We start from the raw sequence: 21,958 nt of genomic DNA, 5'->3' as shown, positions 1-21,958 counted from the left end.
GCTTGACTTGATGGATTGTGGTATATGAGAGAGGAAGAGTCAAAGATGACGCCTGGGCTTCTGGCTTAGGCAACAACATAACAGGGAACATGAATTGAAGGAAGAGAAGGCTGGAGGTAGGGTGGGCCGGGATGGGGAGGAGAAGGTGAGTTTAATGTTCAAAATGTTTGCATGGAAGCAAGTAATGATTTCTAGTAGGCAGCTGGACAAATGGGTCTGAAGCCCTAGGAAGATGTGTTTGGAAGCTGAAGCATGGCATTGGTTTTAACAGGTAGGTTACTGAAGGCACAGGTGTCAGTGAGATTAGAAGAGGTGCCATCAAGAGAAAAAAAGCAGGGCTGAAGAGAACCAGCATTCAAGGCGCCAGGACAAGAAAAGGAAAAACCTTCAAAAGGAGGCCAAGGAGATGCAGCCAGAGAGGCCTGCGTGGCTCACAGGGCCATGGGAAGACAGCATTTCAGCATGCAGCCATGGGTGCCAACACCCCCAAGAAACTAAGAAAAATGAGGGCCCCGCAGTGTCCCCTGGCTCCGGCAACAGGGAAGTTGCAAGTGCCCCTGAGAAGAGCTCTAGGGAGGGGAGGAGGACAGTGCAGCAGAGTGGGTAGAAAGTGAGCGTGGATGGCTTTCAAGACTCTGGCTGCATCAGAGAGAAGACAGTAGCTAGATGGGGATGTGGAGTCTTGAGAGGGGCATGTGCATAAGACGTGTGTGTGTGTGTGTGTGTAAGGGGCGTGTGCATGAGGGTGTGCATGCAGGGGTGTATGCACACTGTGTGTAGGTGTGTATGTGTGGTATATGTGTGCAGATGCTGTATGTAGGGGTGTGTTTATGTGCTAAAGGCTGACACTTGAATGAGCTAAGAGTAGAGAGGGCGAGGTTGCAGATATAGAGAAGGGGGCAGTCAATCCAGCTGGGGTCCTGACTAGAAGAAAGGAATGGGGCCAGAGCGAAGGGAAGAGACATCCCCTCCATCCTAATGGGACGGAAGTGGGGGAAGACAGAAGTAGATGCCAGGGAGTTCATAGGTCTGGGGGCCTGATAGCTTCTAGGCATTTCTGTTCCTGAGTTCAAACGGTGACACTGTTCAGGATGTATCTTGTTCTTTCTCAGTGCAGGGAAGTAAGGGAGGAAGGCAAGAAGAAGGGAAGAAAAAGAGAGAGGAAAGCATCACCCCAGCCTCCCTCAGCTTGGATTTTTACCCATTGGGCAAGGAAACTGAGTTCTAGCCTCAAGGATCCTTTCACTAATTTGCTCAGTCCCCTCTCTCCCTGCAAACTTGTGCTGAGCCCACTTGTCCCCTGTTCAGAATAACACAGTCACTACATCTCTTTTGTTACCTAAAAGTGCACAGTAGGAGCCACACTAAAAACTCAGTCCCCTCTCAAAGGAGAGTTGTGTAAAGGACTGTGCGTGGGTAGTTTTAAGAGAGGATCAGGAGTCAAGCAAATATCTGGGAATAAGGATAAAGATATGTGTTCCGAGGAAGAAGAGCGTATAGCTCTCTCTCTCATCTGAGATCAGAGCTCAGCAGCTGCAAGCAGCAAGAGAGGAGGGGATGAAAGCAGCCACCAGGCACATCCTAAATCGGAGTAAGGAAATGCTGGCATCAACACTTGTCTGGGAAGAGTGTTGTATAGAGGAAACGGAAGTAAAGAACAAATAGTAAAATGGGGAGGAAAAGAAAGAGCGTGGGAGATGACCAGAGAGCAAGACACACACAGAATTATCAGGACAGGCCAGGTCAAAAAATATCCTACTTGTCCAGATTCTGCTTCAGTAGACTGGTTTTATTTCTTGCATTTATTTGAAGCACACTCTATTTGCACTGCAGGCCCTTTTGGCAAGATTTTGAAATCCTTTCCCTCAAGGAGGAATTTTGCTGGATGCAATTCCACAGTAAACAGATCTTGTGGAATTTTAAAACATACAACCTTGTCAATAGGAGCTGAAGGCAGGAGGACTAAAGTGGCTTTACACATAGTCCTTCACTTTGGGTTACCACATTGGGTGCAGCAACTCGAAGGCAGGGTCACCTGGGAGGGGCAGAGCACTGCCTAGACCTCCACTGTCCCAGAGCAAAGACTCTGTGTGACTGGTCTACAGCAAGGGAGGGAAGGGTACGTGAAGGAGCTAGAAAATGCTCTCAAAATAAATTTTGGGTTCAGGAGATACTTTTAAACCGTTCATACACAGAGAACCCCAAGAGACTTGAGAACATAATCATTAACTATTTTGATAATTAAATAAAACCTTTAAAGGACAGCATGAAGAGTTTCTCCATGGCAAATGTGAGGGATTTCCCCCAGGACTATTCCAGCCGCAGAGGTTGCAGGGGCGGGGCTGGTCCATTAGGGAGTGACTCTGCAAACATCATTCCTCCCTGCATGGTGTCTGAGACCTTCGAGGACATCAGTGAGAACCATGGAAAACACACGTGCAAACAGACAGGCACTCTACCCAGAGCAACTTCACCACTCAGGATTACTGTTAACAACACAAAATACCCTTATTCTCTGCTCTTGGAACAGGGCACACCTACAGATGCAACCTGGAGTTCAGTCTAGAATCATAGTTGCTTGTGCCCACAGCTGACCTTAGGTAGACCTGGCTCTAACAAACGTGGACTTATTGACCAAAACCACTCAAAATGTGAGCCCATCCCCAAAACAATGAGACAGAAGGATGGAACGATCTTATAGCATTCAGAGACTATCACCACAGAGCACAGAAAAGTTAAGGCCCAGACCAAGGGGCAGGGGGCAGAGACAGGTGAAAATCCCTAGAATATGTGCGAGATCAACAACATTGTTATTTGGGGACAACCAGACAAAGATGCCAAACAGCCCATGATCCCGTTGGAGAGGCTACAAAGAAATGCTATAGAAATACTGGCTGCTTGGTCATGGATAATAAAAATTATAACAAGATACCATGGGCAAAGATGTAATCTGACTGGGTGTAAATCCCATTCTTGCTACCCCTGGCATTTAAATTTACTGCTATTTATGACACAAGAGGGGGCTGTACAATGTACGGAGGTTAAGACTTAGCCCCAAGACATTTACAACCTGTCTTGTGACACGTATGTGTATTTAGATACAGATGACAGTGTTAGGGGTTTAAAGGTCATTTTCATGGTTGTGGGTCTGGTGACCAAGACACAAATTACATTTAGAGTTTAGTAATGAATCAGTTTTTGTAGTATGGTTTGCAATCTCACAGTGCTAGTGAGATTCTCGATATTCCTGTGAAACACAGATTTTCTTCTAGAGCTAGATTTATATGATTTACTGAGGTATAATGACTTAATTGCAGCTTGAGGGATGCTGTGGGTCCCAGGCATTTGACAAACTTGATCTTCTTTCTCACCCATCAGTTTGGGAGGCAATGAGAGAATAAGGTCATTAAGTTTCCTAACAGAGTCACATGGGAACTTGGTTCAGCCTCCTCAATTCATAGATGAGGAAATGATCCACTAGCAACAACCGGATGTTCTCAACATCCCTCTCCCTGTTGATGGTCGCTTTTCACTTCTGCTCTCAGATACATCTGGTAGCTCACCTGTTCCAACATGTCCTTGGGCAGATCTTCCTGTTCGTCCATTGTTAGAATTGCCCGTTTGATTTCGTCATTGGATAATTTCAACCTGGAGAAAGAATATTTTGTTATTAACCATATTGGTTTGAGTATTAAAATTTAACATAATTCACTTTGCTACCCCAGCTGCTGATTTTCAAGTACTTTTTTCTCAAAATCTCTCAGTGAAAGCTTATTTCCTGACAATATTGCACCTAAAAATAGGACTTTAAAACTGCTTTAACATTCTTTCAGGGCTTTGTAATGCTCTGCTGACACAGAGGACAAAGCTGCTATGTTCTATGATTTAGTTTCCTTAAGCAAGGGATTGGAAGATTAGAATTAGGGAAAATACCCATACACAATTGTTTTCTTTCACATTTAGGATCCATGAACTGCAGGCGGGAGGACAGAATTAAGTTTCTGACCTGTTTATACGTCAGGAGTGTTTAAAGTTTGCTATCAAGTAAAGAATGGATTTTGAGAAGTTTAGAAACTACATGTTATTGTTAAAAAGTTGAGCAACAGATAATATGCAAAGTAAAATCTGCAAGTACTTCATAGTTAAGGCTTTTTTTTAATAGATGGAGAAACTGGGGCCCAGAATGGCCAAGTGATTTGTCCGAGGTCAGACATAAAAAACGACAGTAACCACAAACCCACGACTCTTGATTGCTAATCTCAAACTCTTTATACAAATATTCCTTATCTAGTTAATGTCTCATAGGGAAGGATTTAAGCAAAAATACAAATCTGTTTTCTCTTTTTCTGTCTACCATCAACATAAATGATTTACTAATTTAATCAGGAATATGTGTCTTGATTGTCAGAACAACAAAGTATTGACTGTAAAATATAAAATATAATGTTAAAATGTATTTTTATTAGATATAACAATAGTCTTACCCAGGGGAAAAAAATCTTGATCACATTATTAGCTGCAACAAGAGACTCACTCCTTTGTTTAATTTGTAAGCATTAGACCCAGACTTTTCCTTTTCTTTGATGGAAATGGGGTCTCACTATGCTGCCCAGGTTGGTCTTGAATTCCTGGCCTCAAGTAATCCTCCCACCTTACCCTCCCAAAGTGCTGGGATTACAGGCATGAGTCACCATGCCTGGTCTAGACTTATTTTAAAAATCTTACTTCCTTACAACCTATAACTAATGTGGCGTATTAACATGACTTGATTTGTTCTTTTAGTCTATGCTCTTGAAAAAGCATCATATTTAGGACTGGAGATAAAGATGTAAACACACAAATATAGAGCAAGCTGTACACATGTCACATGCAACTTTTGAAGTAGGGGCTTTGGTGTAAGACAGGCTGGGCCCCAGTCCTGTCTCCGATACTTCCTGGTCAGTGTGACTAGAGCAAAAAATTTTTTATAAAGCCTCACTTTCCTCATCTGTAAAACAAGGATAGTAATAACTACATAACTGCATCCCTCCAGGCACCCCCCCCCCCCCAAAAAAAAGGGATTGTGTTTGTATGTGTGCACATGAGGATTAAGCAAATGAATGCACGTAAAGTGCTTAGCAAAGTTCCTGGCCATAGAAAGAACACAGTAAACTATATGTACGTTCTGCAAGGCAGACTTTTTTATACTAGAAAAACAAAGTAGCAGTACCTTTGTATCCTTAATGGTCATATGCAGCTAAGAACCCATTAAACAGTGCTTAGTATGGTAATTATGATCACTTTCCAAAGCACTGTCATACCCACTATTTCACCAGTGTTTCCTCTCTGTGTATGACACCCATGAGGCCTGGGAGTACTAAGAAGGAAATAGAAGATGAGGTCCTTATTTTAACAGTGATTACAGTCATTGGGAGAACCAGATGATATGCTGAAATCCTCAAGACACAAAGGTGTGTAAAGCACACACTCACCCATGGGCTTGCAGATGAAGGTGAGGGCTGAACAACTGAAAGCGCGCACTCAAAGGCAGCAAAGAAGAGAAGCCCCAGGTGAAGCTGGATGAGGCACCCCACCAAGGATGCCTCTGGCTTGTCTTTTTCTCTAGATTTGGGACCCGATTATGTTAAAACCATCCACCTTGCTATTTAAACTGAATGTTATTTCATGTGCCATTAAGTAGGGAAGAGAAGGAAAAAATTTGGGAATCCTACTGTACTCATACCATTCTCTTCTATTTCATGTTCTCAAACCCAAATAAAGCATCTAGACAAAATGCAAAATTGTTTAAGCTGACAAATAAGGCCCGTTCTATCACCTTATGTGAGCTGTGTTGCCATTATAACCCCTACGCCGTTACAGCAGCCCTTGTCCTGGCAGACTTCTTCAGATGGTTTTCGTCATTCTTGGGACAATCATTGCCTCATGAACATGTTCCCAGAATATCGCGTTAGAAAATTCCCCCTACTTAAATGGAACAATTTAGCTAAGTTGGCATGGGTAAAGTATACAACAGGGAAAAACCGACTCGCAGCATCAGGGCCTCAACTGGGTAGCCTTAGACTCCAGGACACTAGAGGCCCTTGAGTCAATTTAAGTCCAAACACCATTGTGTGGCCATGCAAGGCCAAGGAACAGTAACAATAGGGAGGGCTGAAACTGCCACTAATGAAAACCAACTGGCTGTGAAAACATCTATAATCATGAGGAGAGCTCTGCTTGTAAGAAAAAAAAAAAATTAGTTCTGTGTCCTTTTCACACCGAGTTGAAGAAACCATTTTATGGTGTAGTTCTGCTGAGTCCTTCTGTTTTGCATTTAAAAGAAAAGGAGTTGAAAATCAGAGCGAGAACAATACTTGAAGTATCAGATTTGCATTTCATTAGCTCCCCATATGGAGCACAGAACTTCTTGCTTTTGAAATTGTATATATTTATGCTCCTCAACCCCCAGAGGCTGTCTGGACTAAACACTAGCTCTAATTCAAAACAATTTTGGTTTCTCTTAATGTGGCCCACAAAGAGACTGGAGACTTTAATGGCTAGCACTTAAGAAAATCTACCTGTCAACATAATGCTATGCACGCGTCCTGTTGGATCAAAGAAACCCTACCTTAAGGGAAAGGGGAGAAAGGTACCCCGCCCTCAGGGATGGTTCTATAGGTTGCAGAGTTCTTAGTATCATCTGTCATCCACAGAATCAGTCTCTAATCTCTGTAATTAATTGCTTTTAAAGCTTGGCAGTGTTCTGAAGTGCCAGAGGGTGGCAACTTTTGAGATATCTACTCCAACTTTCTTTACAAGGCAGGAAACAAACCAGCCATCTTAAAACAGTATTCAAAACTCCAGGTTGCTCTACTCAAGTATTTCAAAAATTTGCCAAGAGAATTGGAACATCCAGGCGTAATTAAAATAAGTTAAGGATGGATGGCTAGATCAGCCTTAGCTCTGCTTCAGTGGATTTAGGCCAAATCCCCCTACTTTAGAGTAGCTTTTTGTGGTTTACTACACCCAGGCTGCTGTGCTAAGTGAGCATCTGGAAAAAAAGAACGGCAGAACACTTCATAAAACTGTGTTTCAGGTGGGTTCATTTTGCAATATAAACCTGCTTCCAAGTTTCTGTCTCCCCCGCTGCCACCCCCAGGCCTTTGGCAGCGAGGTCTGTTTTGGGGAATAAAACAGAGTAAATTTTAAATTGCTACATGTCACCCATGCACACATACCAGTAGAAAAGTTGCTTATTCCCTGAGGACCTGAGGAACGTCTCTAAGACGTGCCCATTCTACTCTCTTCCCATGAAAGGTATGGTCCCTGGTGCCCTGGAGCTCCCCATTCAAATGCACACCTTTTAGGCCATCTCTTTCTGAGAGCTTCGAATGATTTGGTCACTCATGCTGCAAATATCCTACTCACTCAGGCATGGGGAGTGCTGGCACCTCCTCCCTGCCTTGGCCTCTTTCCAACTGCCTGCTTGGCTCCAGAGAAAGCTGTGGCAGGTGCCCCTGACCAAAAGGTCCACTGACATTTGTAAAATATGAAGAAGACCTTTAAGGTATAATCTTAAATACTGTGAACACAAGTGTTCATTAAAATACAGCCCATGGAATACGCCACAGGCTTTCACTGTGGTGAACTTTGGTGTAATGATGGCATTGCCAGGAGATAAATCCTAGACAGCAAGATAAGAAATAGAGAAGTTCACCAGTCTCTGGGAATGAAATAATCAGGAAAGAAAGATAGTAAGTGTGAGAAGGTAGGAAATGCTGACATAGAAACATTCCTATTCATTGTCCCCAAGCATAAAATCAGCCTTCAAGGGCTTCTTCATCTCTCTCCAGGCTGTCCTTAGTCATCAGGTCTCACCTGGACAACAGAGGCCCTTATCTGATGGCTGCCCTGGTCCAGCTGTTAACCCCTTCTAACCTGTCCTGCGAAACCAAAAGACCAAACTAAAAAACCTTATTAAACAAACACACAGTGTCCTCCTACTGAACAAAAGGCACCAGTTCTGATCCCATGGATACATAAATAGGACACTGACTGGGCAGCTCCCATGCAGGCACCCTTCCCAGGGCTGCACACATCCTAGGAGGAATTCTCACAAGCCGCTGCAGGGCTGCTACCCTCATGATCTTCATTTTATAGATGAGGAGGTTATGATGTGATTCTGGGCTGACTCATGCCCTTATAAATGCACAATGCCTGAATTTCGGGCTCTCCTGCCTGGTTTCATTCAATCCAATTGATAATTTTCTGCCGGGATTGCAGGGCTCTCTACTAACTGTGCTTATGTCCCTCCCACATCTTTGCTGCTGCACGCCTCCTTGACACCACCTTCCCGGCCCCTCCTCTTGTCATATAACAGTCTTTGCCTTTGAGGCCTACTTTCTACAATAAGCCCTGCTGGTGCCCCTCCTACATGGCCGGGCTCCATGTCCTTCAGTCAGACCAGTGTAAGCCCTGAACTGCGCACAAATCTTCTCACAGGTGTCATTTTTCTTCTCCAATTAGCCATGTGCTTTCAAAGGCAGCAACGTTATCTTAACTTTTGGTATGTCCTATGGCACTCAGCACGGTGCTGGGCAAAAAAATGCTCCAAAGTGGTGACTAAGAGAAAAAGTATTGAACACGTTTTCCTACTTCTTTCTCCTTTTATGTCCCCAGCTCCTTTTGTGCATAGTAATAAATTGCCAACAAAAAAGGAAGAATGAAAAGTAAACTGCTGATTGGTTAAAAAACTAAATAAAATACAAATTATAATTAAATCTGCCTAATTTTTTCACTTGTACCACATTTAACATGTCATTCTGTGCTTTCCTGATGAGAGAGTAAAACAACTGACCAGTGAGCACAAAAGGACGGGGCACTGAATCATCCATGGGAGAGAGGGCTTCAGATCCTTATCAATGCAGCCCAATGGCCAGCAGGTCAAACGGGACTCAAAATTACTTTGTCACACACACTTTTAAATTGTGCTCACTGTAATAATACTTATACACTAAACTGGATTTTAATTGATAATCTGACAGATACGAGGCCAGTTCTTAAAACTGTCTTAAGAGAGTTTAGATACATTCAAGTTCTAAGTCACCTCAAAAGTGTCAGGGCCTAGGGCAACAAGGGAATTTACATACCACAAATATGAACTAATTCCCTCAATAACAGAATGGGAAATTTGCCAGAAAGAGATGTAACCTTATCTATATCTAGTGTAATTACCCTGGTTGGTACTTAGTACTACTGAATAATCTGTCAATAAGGAACGAGGTCACAGTTTTTACTCTAAAGGCATTTCAACACTATAGAAATTCTGTGACAGCTCCCTTCACCAAGTGTTTTAAAGCATTCATCTGGATGGCACAAGCATAAAATATAGAGAGAAATTCTAGGATGTAAAAAAAACTCCACAACTTTCCCCAAGTTAATTTAATTTTGCTACTAGGAATACTACTTATAAAAAGGTAACAAAACAAATTGTTTACACTGTACAGCAGTCTTCCCTTATTGGAGGGGAATATGTTCCATGACCCCCAGTGGATGCCTGAAACTGTGGATAGTATTGATCCTTACATAGACTATGTTTTTTTTGTCTATACATACATACCTAGGGTAAAGTTTAATTTATAAATCAGGCACAGTGAGAGATCAACAATAACTAAAAATAAAATAGAACAATTAAAACAATATATTGTAATAAAAGTTATGTGAATGCAGTTTACCTCCAAATATCTTGTTGTACTGGACCGTGAGTAACTGAAAACGCAGAAAGTGAAACTGTGGATAAGGGGGGGACTACTGTAGAAGAAAAATAAGTAGACCTTCAAGTTATTTTAAGTGGTGGCTTCCTGAGGCAGATAGATATTTTATTTAACCTGAGCATAGTTCATGGAACAAAAGTCAGAATAAACACAGGGTACGGCCATTTACACAGCTTTCAGCCAGAGGCAGAAGTAAAATGTTAACAGGATGGTTCAGGTTACCTTACTAGTTGCATTACAATTCAAAGATCTCACTAAGGTTAAATTTCTCTTCATTAAAAGAAACATTTGCTCCCTGAAGTAATACATATCTGGCTAAGAATCAACTTCCATGAAAACCAAGCACTAGCTCTTTGTGTTAAAAGAAATTCATTCTAAGAACATCTAAATAATAAGGACTACTACTTTCCCTCTCTTCATAGTCCCTGAAAAAGAAGTCACCTTATACCAGCCTCAATGCATATACAACATTCCTTCCAGAATGTAACTTATCTTTAAAGCCCCAAACTCGGGATTCTTTACATCTTCACTCACTCCATAAGCATTAGGTATCTTTGCCTAATGTGAAAGTTCCTTTTACAGAAAAGAAGAAACTAGATACAGAAAAGCTATTTGAAATGCCCAGAAAAACCTGACAACATTGCCCGAAGTTGCAATCAGATTCCAGGCTCCCAAATTTCCTTTCTTCTTTTCAAGTTCCAAGGCTGTGATGGTTCACTAATTATGAGAAAGATTTCTGAACAGGGCTGAACTGGATAAATTAGCTTTTCACGGAGGTTTGAGATTTACATATCCTTTTAGCTATAAAAATGCTCAAAAAGAACATGAAATCATATAACCTTGAAATGAAAAAAGGTGACATTAGAAAGCAAAATAAAACAAAGAGCCTTCATCTGTTGGTCCTGATTCTGTGACAATGCTACTAAATGACCAAAATATCTCTAAGGCCAAGAAGTGTAAATAAAAGTCAAGTCGATGTTACAGGCTTTCTGGGAAGAAAAGATTGACTCAGGGTGTTCTGCCTTTACATTTAGAGGTCTGTGGAAATTAAACTTTGAGAAAGAAGGCATCCAGCTCTGATATGTTCCACTAGGGAAAGTAAGCACCAAGAGCTGTTCTCATTTTAACAGAAGGGGATCCAAAGAACTGTACCTCAGCAGAGTACAATTAAAACAAAATCACTAACATGTGGTTTTGAGCCACAGAATGGAAATGTTGGTCCTACTAGAAATGTTTATTCAACATCAACAATACCTCGATAGAAGGATGTTGCAATTCTGAGCTCTCCGACCATCAATCACCGAAAGCTCTTTAACTTTAAGTTTGGAACTCAGAGTGTCATCAATGGCATCTGCTTCTTTCTGTAAAGAGCATGAAAGAAATCCATCAAAGTCCAACAGGGACATTCAGACTTCAGATACACACTTTCCTTTACATTGTTGTTCATATACACATACACACACTCGTATACACATGGGCAAGGCTGAAATGGTGGGAAGTGTGGAGAATGATGGAATTGAAACAAAGGCTACAGTCTAGTTGGTAAAGGGAAATAATAAGAAAAGCTGACCACCCACATTTGAAAAAGCATTATTTGGAAGAACAAAGTGCTTCTAAGTTGAAGATGCTAAGTGTGCATAAATTATCAGTGAGTGGTGCCCTCCTTTTGTCCCCCAAATTCCTATGGATTGCAGACAGAAGAACTGTCACTATGAATCAGGCTCAGCTGAGGCTTGCCATTGCCGGTCCAGCCACTTGCAAGGCCCATTCACCCCAGAACCATCTGCATTGTGAGCACTCAAAAAAGCTAAACGATAAAACCTCCCAAACATCTTCATGTACAACAGGAAGCTCCCAAAGCCAGATGGTAACTTTCATTACTCCAGAGCCTGATGGACAATGGGAAGGGGCAGTTTGAGGCATGAGTTCAGTTACCTGAACTAACAATAAAAGGCTACTTGCATATTCTGTTGCTGTATAGAAATCTGTAAGCTATGATGGCCAGTTATAATTTCAGGTGGAACAGACCAAAAATATGTATAATATACTGTTAGAGTGAACTGAGCATCAGGAGTATTGGTAATAATAAAAAGTTCAAGGCTAACTTGATAAATAGCAAGTTTGATTTCATTAGCAGTGAGAATCAATTAAAAACGTTACAGTGTTTTAAAAATGTAAGAAAACTGATTAAGTAGCTCTTTCTTTTGCAAAGTTGTATCTACATTTTACACAAAGATAAAGAATCTTAGCTGAATTATTCATTCAACTTACCTACAGAGTTTCCTCATTTGATGAGGGGGCTGAATTAAAGTAGTACCTCTAAAGTCTGTTTAAGTTCTAAAAATTCTACGTACTTTCCTACTAAGCCTCGTGAATTTATGGAGAACATCTAACATTATCAGTTCTACAAACTACAAAATCTTGGATCAGACTGCTGTTTTTAACATGAGTCTGTACTACTGTTTAAATTTTTGCAGCTTAAAAAGAAAATGAATTTGTAGTGACGTGACTGCAATCTGGCTTGCTCAGACACTAAGCATATCAAGCATCTAAATTCAACTGCAGCCTATGCAATCTATAAAAAGTACTTGATAACTATCAGAAGACAATAGTCCAAGTCTTATATACACCATCAAGCCTTTTTCATATATTTCCCACTCAGGAATTAGGAGGAAAAAAACAATTATATAAATTATTGTACCAATAACGGTAGCATTAAAAAAAAAGTAAAGAAACCAAAGAACTCTAGAACTGTGTAACAGTTTAGAAAACAAAGGCAATATGGAATTTATACTGTGAGGCACTAGGTGATCAAATGTCAACTGTCTCATGCTAAAATTTCAGGCGAACCTCTAGATACTCATTTAAGAGTTGAAATCCAAAGTGGAGTTACCTAGGCATTAGATTACACTATGTAAAAAAACAAAAACAAAAACAAAACCCTGGATAACGAAGAGATTTCAAGCTTACAGTGAGCCAAGGAGTTATATTAAGCAAGCTTTAGGTAGTAGCTCACTTACCTGCTTGGAGTTACTGTTCACAAAGAAATCCTACAGCCATGGCAGAGGCATGGAAAAGGCAAATCAGATATATGCAGTTCAGAAGTCACAGCAACAAATGGGGGAAAGTCAAAGCAGTCAAGGAAACAAGTGATGTAGGGTAAGAGATGATTTATGCCCCTGGGATCATCAATGAGAGTTGATGAAGATGAGAAAATTTGGCTGAATACCATGAAGAGCACAATACTAAGCATTCAGGGTAGAGAAAGACGATGACATTTGCTGTACCCAATTTTCAATGGTGGAAAATCAAATTCAGAAAAGACAGGGCTTAAAACACCTGAGAAAGACCCAAGCTGGGAAAGGAATAAATCCTCTTTGAAATGACCACTGGCTCCATTTATTCAACATGATGATTTTACTTGAAGCAGGAGAAAATCAATCCCATCAACTTGAGGAAACTATTCCTACTGTTAATAGGAAAACCAAAAATACATAAATAAATAAACTTTTTTTGATGAAAATAATCTCCTGTCATCTTGTGTTATAAGGAAGGATTGAGAAAAGACAGGTTGAACAACTCAAGTCAGTAATATTAACCCTCAGCACCCCTATAAAGTGCAAATAATGCCTGTAGGTGCTACAGGTAGGTATGAGGAAAAAGAACATGCAATTAAGAGAAAATCAGTGATACGTGTGTTGTGCAGCCATTCGTGGCCCTGTCCTAACTGCCCCAGGACTGTTCAAGCATACAAGGTCAACAGTCTCTTCTGGAAATAGTTTTTAGAAAAGACTTGGAATGAAAAAGGGAACGAGGAAGAGGTAACTGACATGCTGTGAGAAAGTTACAGCATACGTTGCATATTTTTGCAATGCTGAAATGAATAAGGCTTTGGTGTGCAAAACACGCCCCAGTTTTCGGGCCAACAGCTTGCACAACCAGCATTTGCTCAGCAGATTCCTTAAGGTCTCACTGGTCTCAGCAGCACTGCCAAGGCCAATTTTACACAGATGAGCTGTTTCACACAATTCCTCTAGTGAGAAACAGAATGTGTCCTCCCCTTGCTCTAGCCATACAAGGGGGGACTGCTTTTCTAGAATGGCATTTAAAAAACAATGGATACTCCTCTGATATCCCAGTTTTCTTTTGTCTCTGTTATAACTGCCAAGTTGTCTACTCTGAAGCTCCTTAGGACTCTTCCTGTAAAAGCAGTTTCCTTTCAAGGGCAAAAAAGACTATGGCGAAGTGAACTCCATGAAGTCATCTTAACCTATTTTTTTTCTCTTAAAGAGAGAGTTGCTAGTTGAACTTAGAGATTCTGCTCTTACTGTCTGACCCTCAAAGAAGAAACTTTTTTGAAGTTCACTGGCAACTCATCCTATTTTATGAGTTCCCAGTGGCAGGAAATTAAGACTTCTGACCTCTAGTGTAGAGGCCTGTGGAATCAGGCAACTGTTATTTACCGGGTGTGTGGCTTGGGGCTCAGTCTATCTGTCTGTAAAATGTGGTTAATTAACAACTGATTGGTGTGAAGATTAAACATGACAATCACGTAATGCGTTGTGTATAGTACCTGACACATAGGTATCTGACACATATGTATGAGCTCAGTACTTGGAAGCTACAGTAATACAATTATTTCATCTTTCAACCTGATGATCAAGTCCACTTATTCCCCTTTGGCTCTGCTTTCAGTTGAGCTGAAAAAACAGCTGGTCAAGATCTCCAATTTGTGACCACCATCAGCAATAAGTGTAATAGTTAATAACTATGTAATACATTTTCTTTCTAGAGGTGAGGATGAAGAATGCCAAGCAAGAGTTTCTTCAATTATTACCCTAAAGATTCCACTTCTTTTAAAAGTCCTTTACTTGGCACATTAGAAATAAAATCATAAAGCTTATGAGTTTCATTCAAAGGGGCATGTTAGAAATAATGATGCTTCCAGGCCTATTTCAAGTAGGTTAACATTCTTTTTGAAAGCTTATTCACTGAAAAATCAGAGAGAAGTAACAAAAGATACTTCTAATTGGCTTGGGTCAAATGTGGTAGAATCACTTATATTTGGCTTCACCTAACAGGATGTCTGGTTTTTCCAGGCAATTTCTGGCATAAAGCTTAGGGCTTGGAGTATAAATAGGAAGTTGGGACTTGCATTTTCAGGAAGCAGTGCTGATAGTGCTATAGATTGAATTCCACAATGGGATAATGACTCAACACTTCACAGATAATCATAACTTTTACATGAATGGTTTTTAATCTTTTTGAGACTTTTGTAAATCTGGTAAAAATTATGAATCTCTATCCAGGAAAATTCAAACACTATATTTATATAAAACCCCACATCTGATTAACTCTTATCATGAAGCTCAGTTACAGAACTTACATTTGGTCTTAAGAAAAAAAAAAAACAACACCACTATTTATATTTCTCTCTTCTGTTTTCATGTGCCATGGCTAAGGATCAAGCCTACTGAAATAAATATCTTAAATCATAACATTTTTCAATGTGAAAATTATACCTATAGAATAAAAATTGTAAAGAGAATAAAAAAGGAAAATTCTTTGATAATTTATAAAAAATCAGAAGGTATCATTGAATGCTCTAAATGGAGCCCCCAAAATGTCTTGTGTATTACATATAAGCAGGAGAGGTTGGATTCTGGAGCCTGAGACCACCGTTATTCTTTGTTCCTAACCCAGAGTAGAGGCTTTGAGAAGTTTTACAATGTGATGACAATAGGATCCTTAAGGAAGGGCTGTCCTCAAGCAAAGATCAGGGGGAAGGAAGAGATAGTGAACTGTGAATTTGTTGCTACAGAGATATGACTCCCTTTAGGTAAATGTAGTGCCTTTAGCTCATTTCCCCTCTATTCAATTGTATGGATAGAGAGAAATGAATTTATAGCATCTAGGGATGAAAATTTCCCATAAAACGGAGATGAATATTGTTTAATTGTATCTGAAAAGTACTGCTATGCAATGTGCTACCATTTAAATCAGTCTTTTGTGGCTGACCTGGAAATCATGTATAATGTAGTTTCAATGAGAAAAAGAGGACCTGAGATTCAAGACATTGACTTTCAAATGAACTTTTGGAATGTGAGTGGAGAAATAACTGCCTGCTATTAGATCCCATTTCATGTGGCACATAAGCTTACATAATCAGCTCTGCACACCTTTGATATTTACACTGAAAAAAAATTCTGAATAGGAGTAGTCTTGTTCTTAAAGCTGGAGTGAAAGAAAATCCTATACAAAGTCTGACATTTATAATGAGTAAAAACCATGGGGAAGAGCAAAGTGAAATTGGGAATTATGTCCCTTTGGAGTTACTAAATACACACCAAGCCATGTTTTTATTATCTATAAAATATGAATATCTACTCATAGAGTTGGGGGTGAGCATTAAGGAAGAAAATAAGTATAAGAGCTCCATTGAGAACTAAATCTTAAGGTTGATGAGATTGGGAACTGTGCATATCATACTTGGCATCAGGAATGTAATGGATGCTTAATATTATCATCTTGTAGTCCATATTATAGTTATTTACAGCTTTTTCTCATCTCTGCTTTTATACTGTAAGTTACACTGTGGGCCTGTGCAAAAATTTAACACATTTTCATCCTTTGAAGTACTTTGTATACAAAGCAGACAATATAAGTTCTCATTTTAATGATTCCTCACATCAACTGGATATATTTTATGCAGATATGTGTAAGCATATATGTGTGTGCATATACACTTATGTTTGTATATATCCCCTAAGTGTCATTTCTCAGTATTCATCTAAATTATACTAATCCGACACTACTGAGATTTTTCCAAAATCTTACTCTGTGCAGGGTTCCTGTTGCATGCATACAGGTAATGGTATTCATGCCATTACCTTTGTAATGTTCCTTTGCCTCTCTGAGAATTGTATCTAGCCAAACAACTGGCTGAAGTCCAGAGAGTTTGAACAGGGTGTCATGACTCTGGAGGGAGGAAAAAGGAGACATCATGGAAAAAAATAGATCCCGAGTATTCATTTGCGAGTAGAAAAGAGAGCAGTTCAAGTGAATTATATAATGCACTGCCAAGACTGAAATGAAAATGCATAGGTCTTGAGTATTTCCATTGGTCATGAGATAAGGGGACATTTAATGACAGGCAACCCATTTTCTTTACTGTGTCCTATATATTCCAACTAAAGTGTCCACATCTTTGGATTTTCTATCAGAATTCAGTAATTTCAATAAAATGGCTCAAATTATCCTTATTTAGAAAATATATTTACAGTTAAAAAATTCTCATTTCAAATTCTTGCACCAAAAGAGAAAACCTACTTGAATTACTCAAGCTGATCAGGTATGCTGAAATGTTTCTCCAGGAAGTGCTATTGAAAATATGGTCACAACTGATTCTACTTACTGGTCTACTTAGTGTTAAGTATAACTGAAATGTTCTGGACTCTCCTGACTGGAATGCATACTGATTACTTAAACAGTGTTGGTTGCTAGGAGACAATTACCCAATTGCTAGGCTTTCTGCAATCTTGTCTCCCAGAGCTCTTGAGAACTGTCCACATATTTGTCCCAGAGCATTTTGGCAGTATCCTTCTGCACCTTCTGCTGAAAGCCAGTTAATTATGAGTCTTGTAAACTTAGGTCTTTCAACCACCTGCCTTTATAATAAATGCAACCCACATGCTCAGACTTGAATAGCATCATTTGGAACAACTGCTGCTTTTCCTTCCTTTAATTTACTTCTCTACGTTCTCAAATCTTCATATTAGGCAACCAGCATGGAACAGTATCAGCGATCAAAACTGAAGTGGGAAAGCAATGGGACATGTAGCCAGGTTAGAAGATTATTTGAATTATCAGGAAATTTGCTAAAATGGATCAAGATTCCATGTCAAGGCCAAGGAGACACCTTCTCAGGACAGCAGACAGAGAAAGAGGCAGCATGTTGCAGCCAATCAGGAATGAGTCTGGTCACAGTCCCTGCCACGTGAGGACTCTAAAGACAACTTTTGTCCTTTGAAGGATAAATTGTTTTGCTTTCTATTGGCCAATGCCTTATCTTCATTGTGTTTTTTTCATCTTCCCTTATTTGGTGTGTATAGCATTGCCCAAGTTTGCCTTTCTACTTACAGTAGGGGTGGGCAGCTGAGGGCTCCTGTTTTAAGGGTTCATGTCACTATGGCAGGCAACCGCCTCTATTTTTGTATTTTATTAAAGTAGCATAAAAGGCATTGCAGAAAAGCTTTCCCTTTCTTAAGGAAAAATATTCATTTAAATATTGGCTTTTCCCCCCCATTTCAGATGTATCAAAGGCCATTTTGAAAAACAAAACAAAATGAAACAAGAAACCCTTAGTTTTTGTTTCTCCCCCTAGCCTGAGTCCATCTACTCTTTTGGTGCTCAGTATTTCTTTTCTGATACACTCTTTCTTGGGGACTAAGCCAAGGAAACCAACTAGGAAGTCTGCTGCTTGTTTAAGGATGCTCCACCCATGATTCATCTGGGAGTTAAGGGCCTCTCAGTAAAGCCCAAGGAAAGCCCCGTAAGAGGCCCAGCATTCGTGTGTTCCTGTTTAGGATGAACTCTGCTCTCTCCATCATTCCACCTCTTCAGTCATACTTAAGAATCTTTCTTCTCACACTACTGGACTCAAGTTTTCTCTTCTCAAGGCTTTGATTATTTGGGATCCTACTCCACCTTTTCTTTTTTCTTCTGAAACTCTCCAGACCTGGCCACCTTGCTGTGTTCTCTTCTGGTCTAACTTTAAGAGGCTGTATCACGATGCCCTCTTGAAGAACAAGAGGTACCACACAGATGTGACTGGGGCTCACATAGTGATGCCTTGTCAATGTGGAGTGCCAGCAGGCACCAAATCACATGTTTTTGCTACTATTACAAAAGCTTTGCTCACTTTTCAGTAGCGTCTCTGGTCCTATTTGCACCATTACCATCTCCCCACTTGCTCGGTCTTTACAACCCCACTTCTGTTCATGACATATAGTAAAAACTCCTAAGTTCCATCTACTGGCCAAATTATAGTCATTTAAAAACCTCCATACTTCTAAAAATTCCATCCATTTCACAAAGAATTCTGCTTCAAATGGTAACCATTTGATATGTATTTTTAAAAAATTCAGATGAACCAAAATAGCTTTAGATACAAACATTGTGGGGTGACAATTTAAGTTACTTAACTCTTCTACTTTCTCCTGGTGAACCATTTTGACTAAATACAAGTGACAGCATACAAAACTCTTTACACCAATAGAGACAAGGTCTTAGACATATACCAGATATGAAACTCCCTAACAAGGAGCTTATATATCTTCGACTGTTCACATACAACTAACAGGCACTTGGACGGAGACACGGACATGCACAGGGTAGATCCAACAGCCTAGAATTCATATGCCGGTCACATCACGGCCATGGCTGATGGGCCAGAGATCATGCATAAGACATGATTTTTCTACCTTTTTGGTGTCTGGAGGGCATATGCTGTTACCTGCTGTCTTTGATAGGCAGAGAAGGTTCTTTCCAGGTCTTCAAGATCTAGAATTTTGAAGACTTTTGTATCATCAATTTCGGTCCATACTGTTCCTTCCAGTTTGTTCTAGAAACATCAATGTAATAAGTGCTATAGTTTACAGTTATACATAAAAAGAACAGGGATGGTTATTTAAAAAGTGCTTCTATCCCAAATTTTTCAGTCTACCAGACACTCAAAGTGACGGGTTTCAAACAATGTGTCATTTATTTCAGAAGCTTTATCACTTAAATATCTGAGCTAGTGAGAACTCTTGGTCCACATTAGAAAATGAAATCATTTAACAGCCAGGGCTGTTTTCCCTTTCAGTGATAACACAATGAGCTGCTAATGCTATCCATTAAAGGGAAAACTGGAACAAATGGCTCACCTCGGGCAGTTTAGACCAGTTGAAGGATTTCAGGGCATTTGTGGGCTGAGGAATGCTTTTCTTCTTCAGTGCTAGGCCCATTGGAGCACCAGGAGGTGGCATGATTGCCCCTAAGGGAGGAGGCCCTGGGGGAGGAGGAGGGCCACCTGGAGGGAGGGGAGGCGGTGGAGGGGGAAGCATCCCACCTGGTAGAGGTGGGGGTGGTGGGGGAGGAAGGAGAGATCCAGGCACAGAGGAAGGAAAGGGCCCTCCTGGTGCTCCAGGCGAGGGTCCACCTGGGATTGAAGCACAGACGGCCCTCTGAAAAGATAAAAATAGGAAAAGAAAGATCAATGGAAGAAGTAAATTCATTGAATGATTTAAGAGTCTGTAACTTGGCCTAAAATGTTTATTATAGAGAAATTCACCCTTCTGAGAATGTTTAAAGGATCGGTAAAGTCGAATGGACTCTTTTGGGCCTTTATGGACTCCAGTGCATCAACCTTTTGTACCTGACACTCAAGTACTTGTCTGGGATGCATTCATATCTCTCTCACTTCTTGCACCATCACAGACAGTCTGGTTTTCATGAAGTCAGTTTTCACTTTAAGAAGCTAATGCAATTTCCTTTGCTCTTAGATTTGTACAGTATTTAAAAATGCACCCCCAAACAGCCTCTGCTGCCTACATGATAGCAGAGGGAGTGAGTCTCCTAATTGTGATGAATCATGAGCCATTTCAGATTTTATTCCCCCAGTATGAAGTTCTCTACTTAAGGGTGAGGGGCTCTAGGGTCAGTGAGGCCTTGGCAGCTGCCCGTGAGCTGAGCGGAAGACCTCACCCTGCTGAGCTCATGGAGCTGTGCTGTGAGGTCCGCCACCTGCTGCTTGACTTGCTTATGCTCAGTAGTCTCCTTTTCAAGTTTCTCTTTCATTTTATTTAAGGTCTGCATCATCTCTTCCTTCTCTTGAGTCTTAGCATCACATTCTCGTTCTTTCTTTTCCAGTTTCTGTTGTAGCTCATTGTGCTCTACACGAGAAAACAATTGGACATGAAAACAGGAGAGTCTTCAAAGCTGAAGCATTTTCTCTAAAAGAAAATTGACTGAGGATGATGGCAGAGATTATGAGGATCTTTATTAGGTAAATATTATTCCTCTTCTCCATCAAAGGGAGCAACTCAAAGGCTAAATGATGTTTGTGCTTGGAGTGGGCTTCGGATGAACAATGTTATTATTAACTACGTAAGAGACTGAAGAAGAGAGCCTACACTCACAGTTCTAAACACAGAACAAAAGTTTGAGTGACTTCTTGTGGAGGAGAATGGTAACTGTTTGGTAGTTGATTCAGAATCTTGTCATTAAAATGGTCCTTTAGCAATACAAGGAAAAAAATAAATATTCAAATGGCCTCTTTTCACAAATTAGAAGTGAGACAAAGAGTAGTTCAGCTTTTATGAATTAGGTTTGCCAGCTCACATCCAACCAGCCGAAGGGCTGGAAGGGAGGGTCTCACCTGTGAGGAAGAGCTGCTGTCAGACCCAGGGTTTGTCCCCAGATGGAATCACTTCTCCCATCTCCCCTCAGAAGGCTACTTGAAGTATTTTATGCTTTCAGTAAACAATTATTAAGGCATATGAAAGCAAATGTTATCATCTCAGTATTAAATATCTTAAGGGGAGTGGGGTCAGTAGAACGCGAAAATCATGGTAACACAGGGGAGAAAAATATTGACTCTTAGCTGTAGTTTTACTGACTTCCTCAATCCTGCTATAATAAAACAGGGCATCCAATTCAGCATAATGCATATTCACATTGCCAATGAATACAAGCTTGCTGAAAGGAGTGATGAGTTTTGGAAAAGAGAACTAACAAAGTTTAGGCTGCGGATTTTTATTTCAAATACATGTCCCCAATTCCTATTCTTTTTATATCAATAAATCCACTAGAGGTATAACCCACTGGGGCCGAGCTATACTAATAGAGCTGGTCTCTATTTCTGAATTTGCTAACACATTTAAATTCTTGTTTTCTCTGTCTCTGACCTTCTCTCTCCTGAGTTCCCCCAAATTAGAGTTTACAGAGAGGAGTTCAAGCCACTAAAATCCCTGGATTTTGTCAGCAATCCACTTCTACCACTCTGTTGTTGCCTCCCTAACTTCTCCAGAAATACATCCAAAAATGACCTCTCTATATCCCATTTTCCTTCTTTTATCTCCATTTCATTCTTCTTTCACAATTTCAGGACTAGAAACTTGCCTTCCTCTCACTGGTCATTAGCTTTTGATGAAGCTGGCTGTGTC

At 40.4% G+C, this 21,958-nt stretch overlaps 1 protein-coding gene across 5 annotated transcripts in view, besides 2 other annotated features; it reads right to left on the bottom strand.

Annotated features, from left to right (window-relative positions):
- The window catches only part of DAAM1 (dishevelled associated activator of morphogenesis 1), a 182,739-nt gene that overhangs the window by 20,219 nt on the left and 140,562 nt on the right, over positions 1–21,958 (bottom strand). For 3 of the 5 annotated variants that reach the window (XM_005267431.2, XM_005267430.3, NM_014992.2), the window contains 6 exons: positions 20,499–20,686; positions 19,679–19,978; positions 19,267–19,374; positions 12,773–12,802; positions 11,007–11,113; positions 3,564–3,648 (listed from right to left, as the gene is read on the bottom strand). In XM_005267431.2, the coding sequence (XP_005267488.1) occupies positions 3,564–3,648; positions 11,007–11,113; positions 12,773–12,802; positions 19,267–19,374; positions 19,679–19,978; positions 20,499–20,686 (818 nt within the window). The remainder of the gene's footprint in view (positions 1–3,563; positions 3,649–11,006; positions 11,114–12,772; positions 12,803–19,266; positions 19,375–19,678; positions 19,979–20,498; positions 20,687–21,958) is intronic. The other 2 variants (XM_047431135.1, NM_001270520.2) reach the window with 1 other exon arrangement.
- Positions 19,361–20,169: an enhancer, noted in NCBI's record as "NANOG-H3K4me1 hESC enhancer chr14:59797736-59798544 (GRCh37/hg19 assembly coordinates)". NCBI's record gives its function as "activates a minimal SCP1, AML or CMV promoter by ChIP-STARR-seq in naive H9 embryonic stem cells {active_cell/tissue: H9 hESC(naive)}" and the evidence as "EXISTENCE:reporter gene assay evidence [ECO:0000049][PMID:30033119]".
- Positions 20,572–20,621: an enhancer, noted in NCBI's record as "active region_8459". NCBI's record gives its function as "activates an Ori minimal core promoter by ATAC-STARR-seq in GM12878 lymphoblastoid cells {active_cell/tissue: GM12878}" and the evidence as "EXISTENCE:reporter gene assay evidence [ECO:0000049][PMID:35858748]".

The sequence above is a fragment of the Homo sapiens genome, chromosome 14, assembly GCF_000001405.40.
Source record: "Homo sapiens chromosome 14, GRCh38.p14 Primary Assembly".
NCBI classification, from domain to species: domain Eukaryota; kingdom Metazoa; phylum Chordata; class Mammalia; order Primates; family Hominidae; genus Homo; species Homo sapiens.
This window is presented reverse-complemented; position numbering and strand designations above follow the sequence as displayed.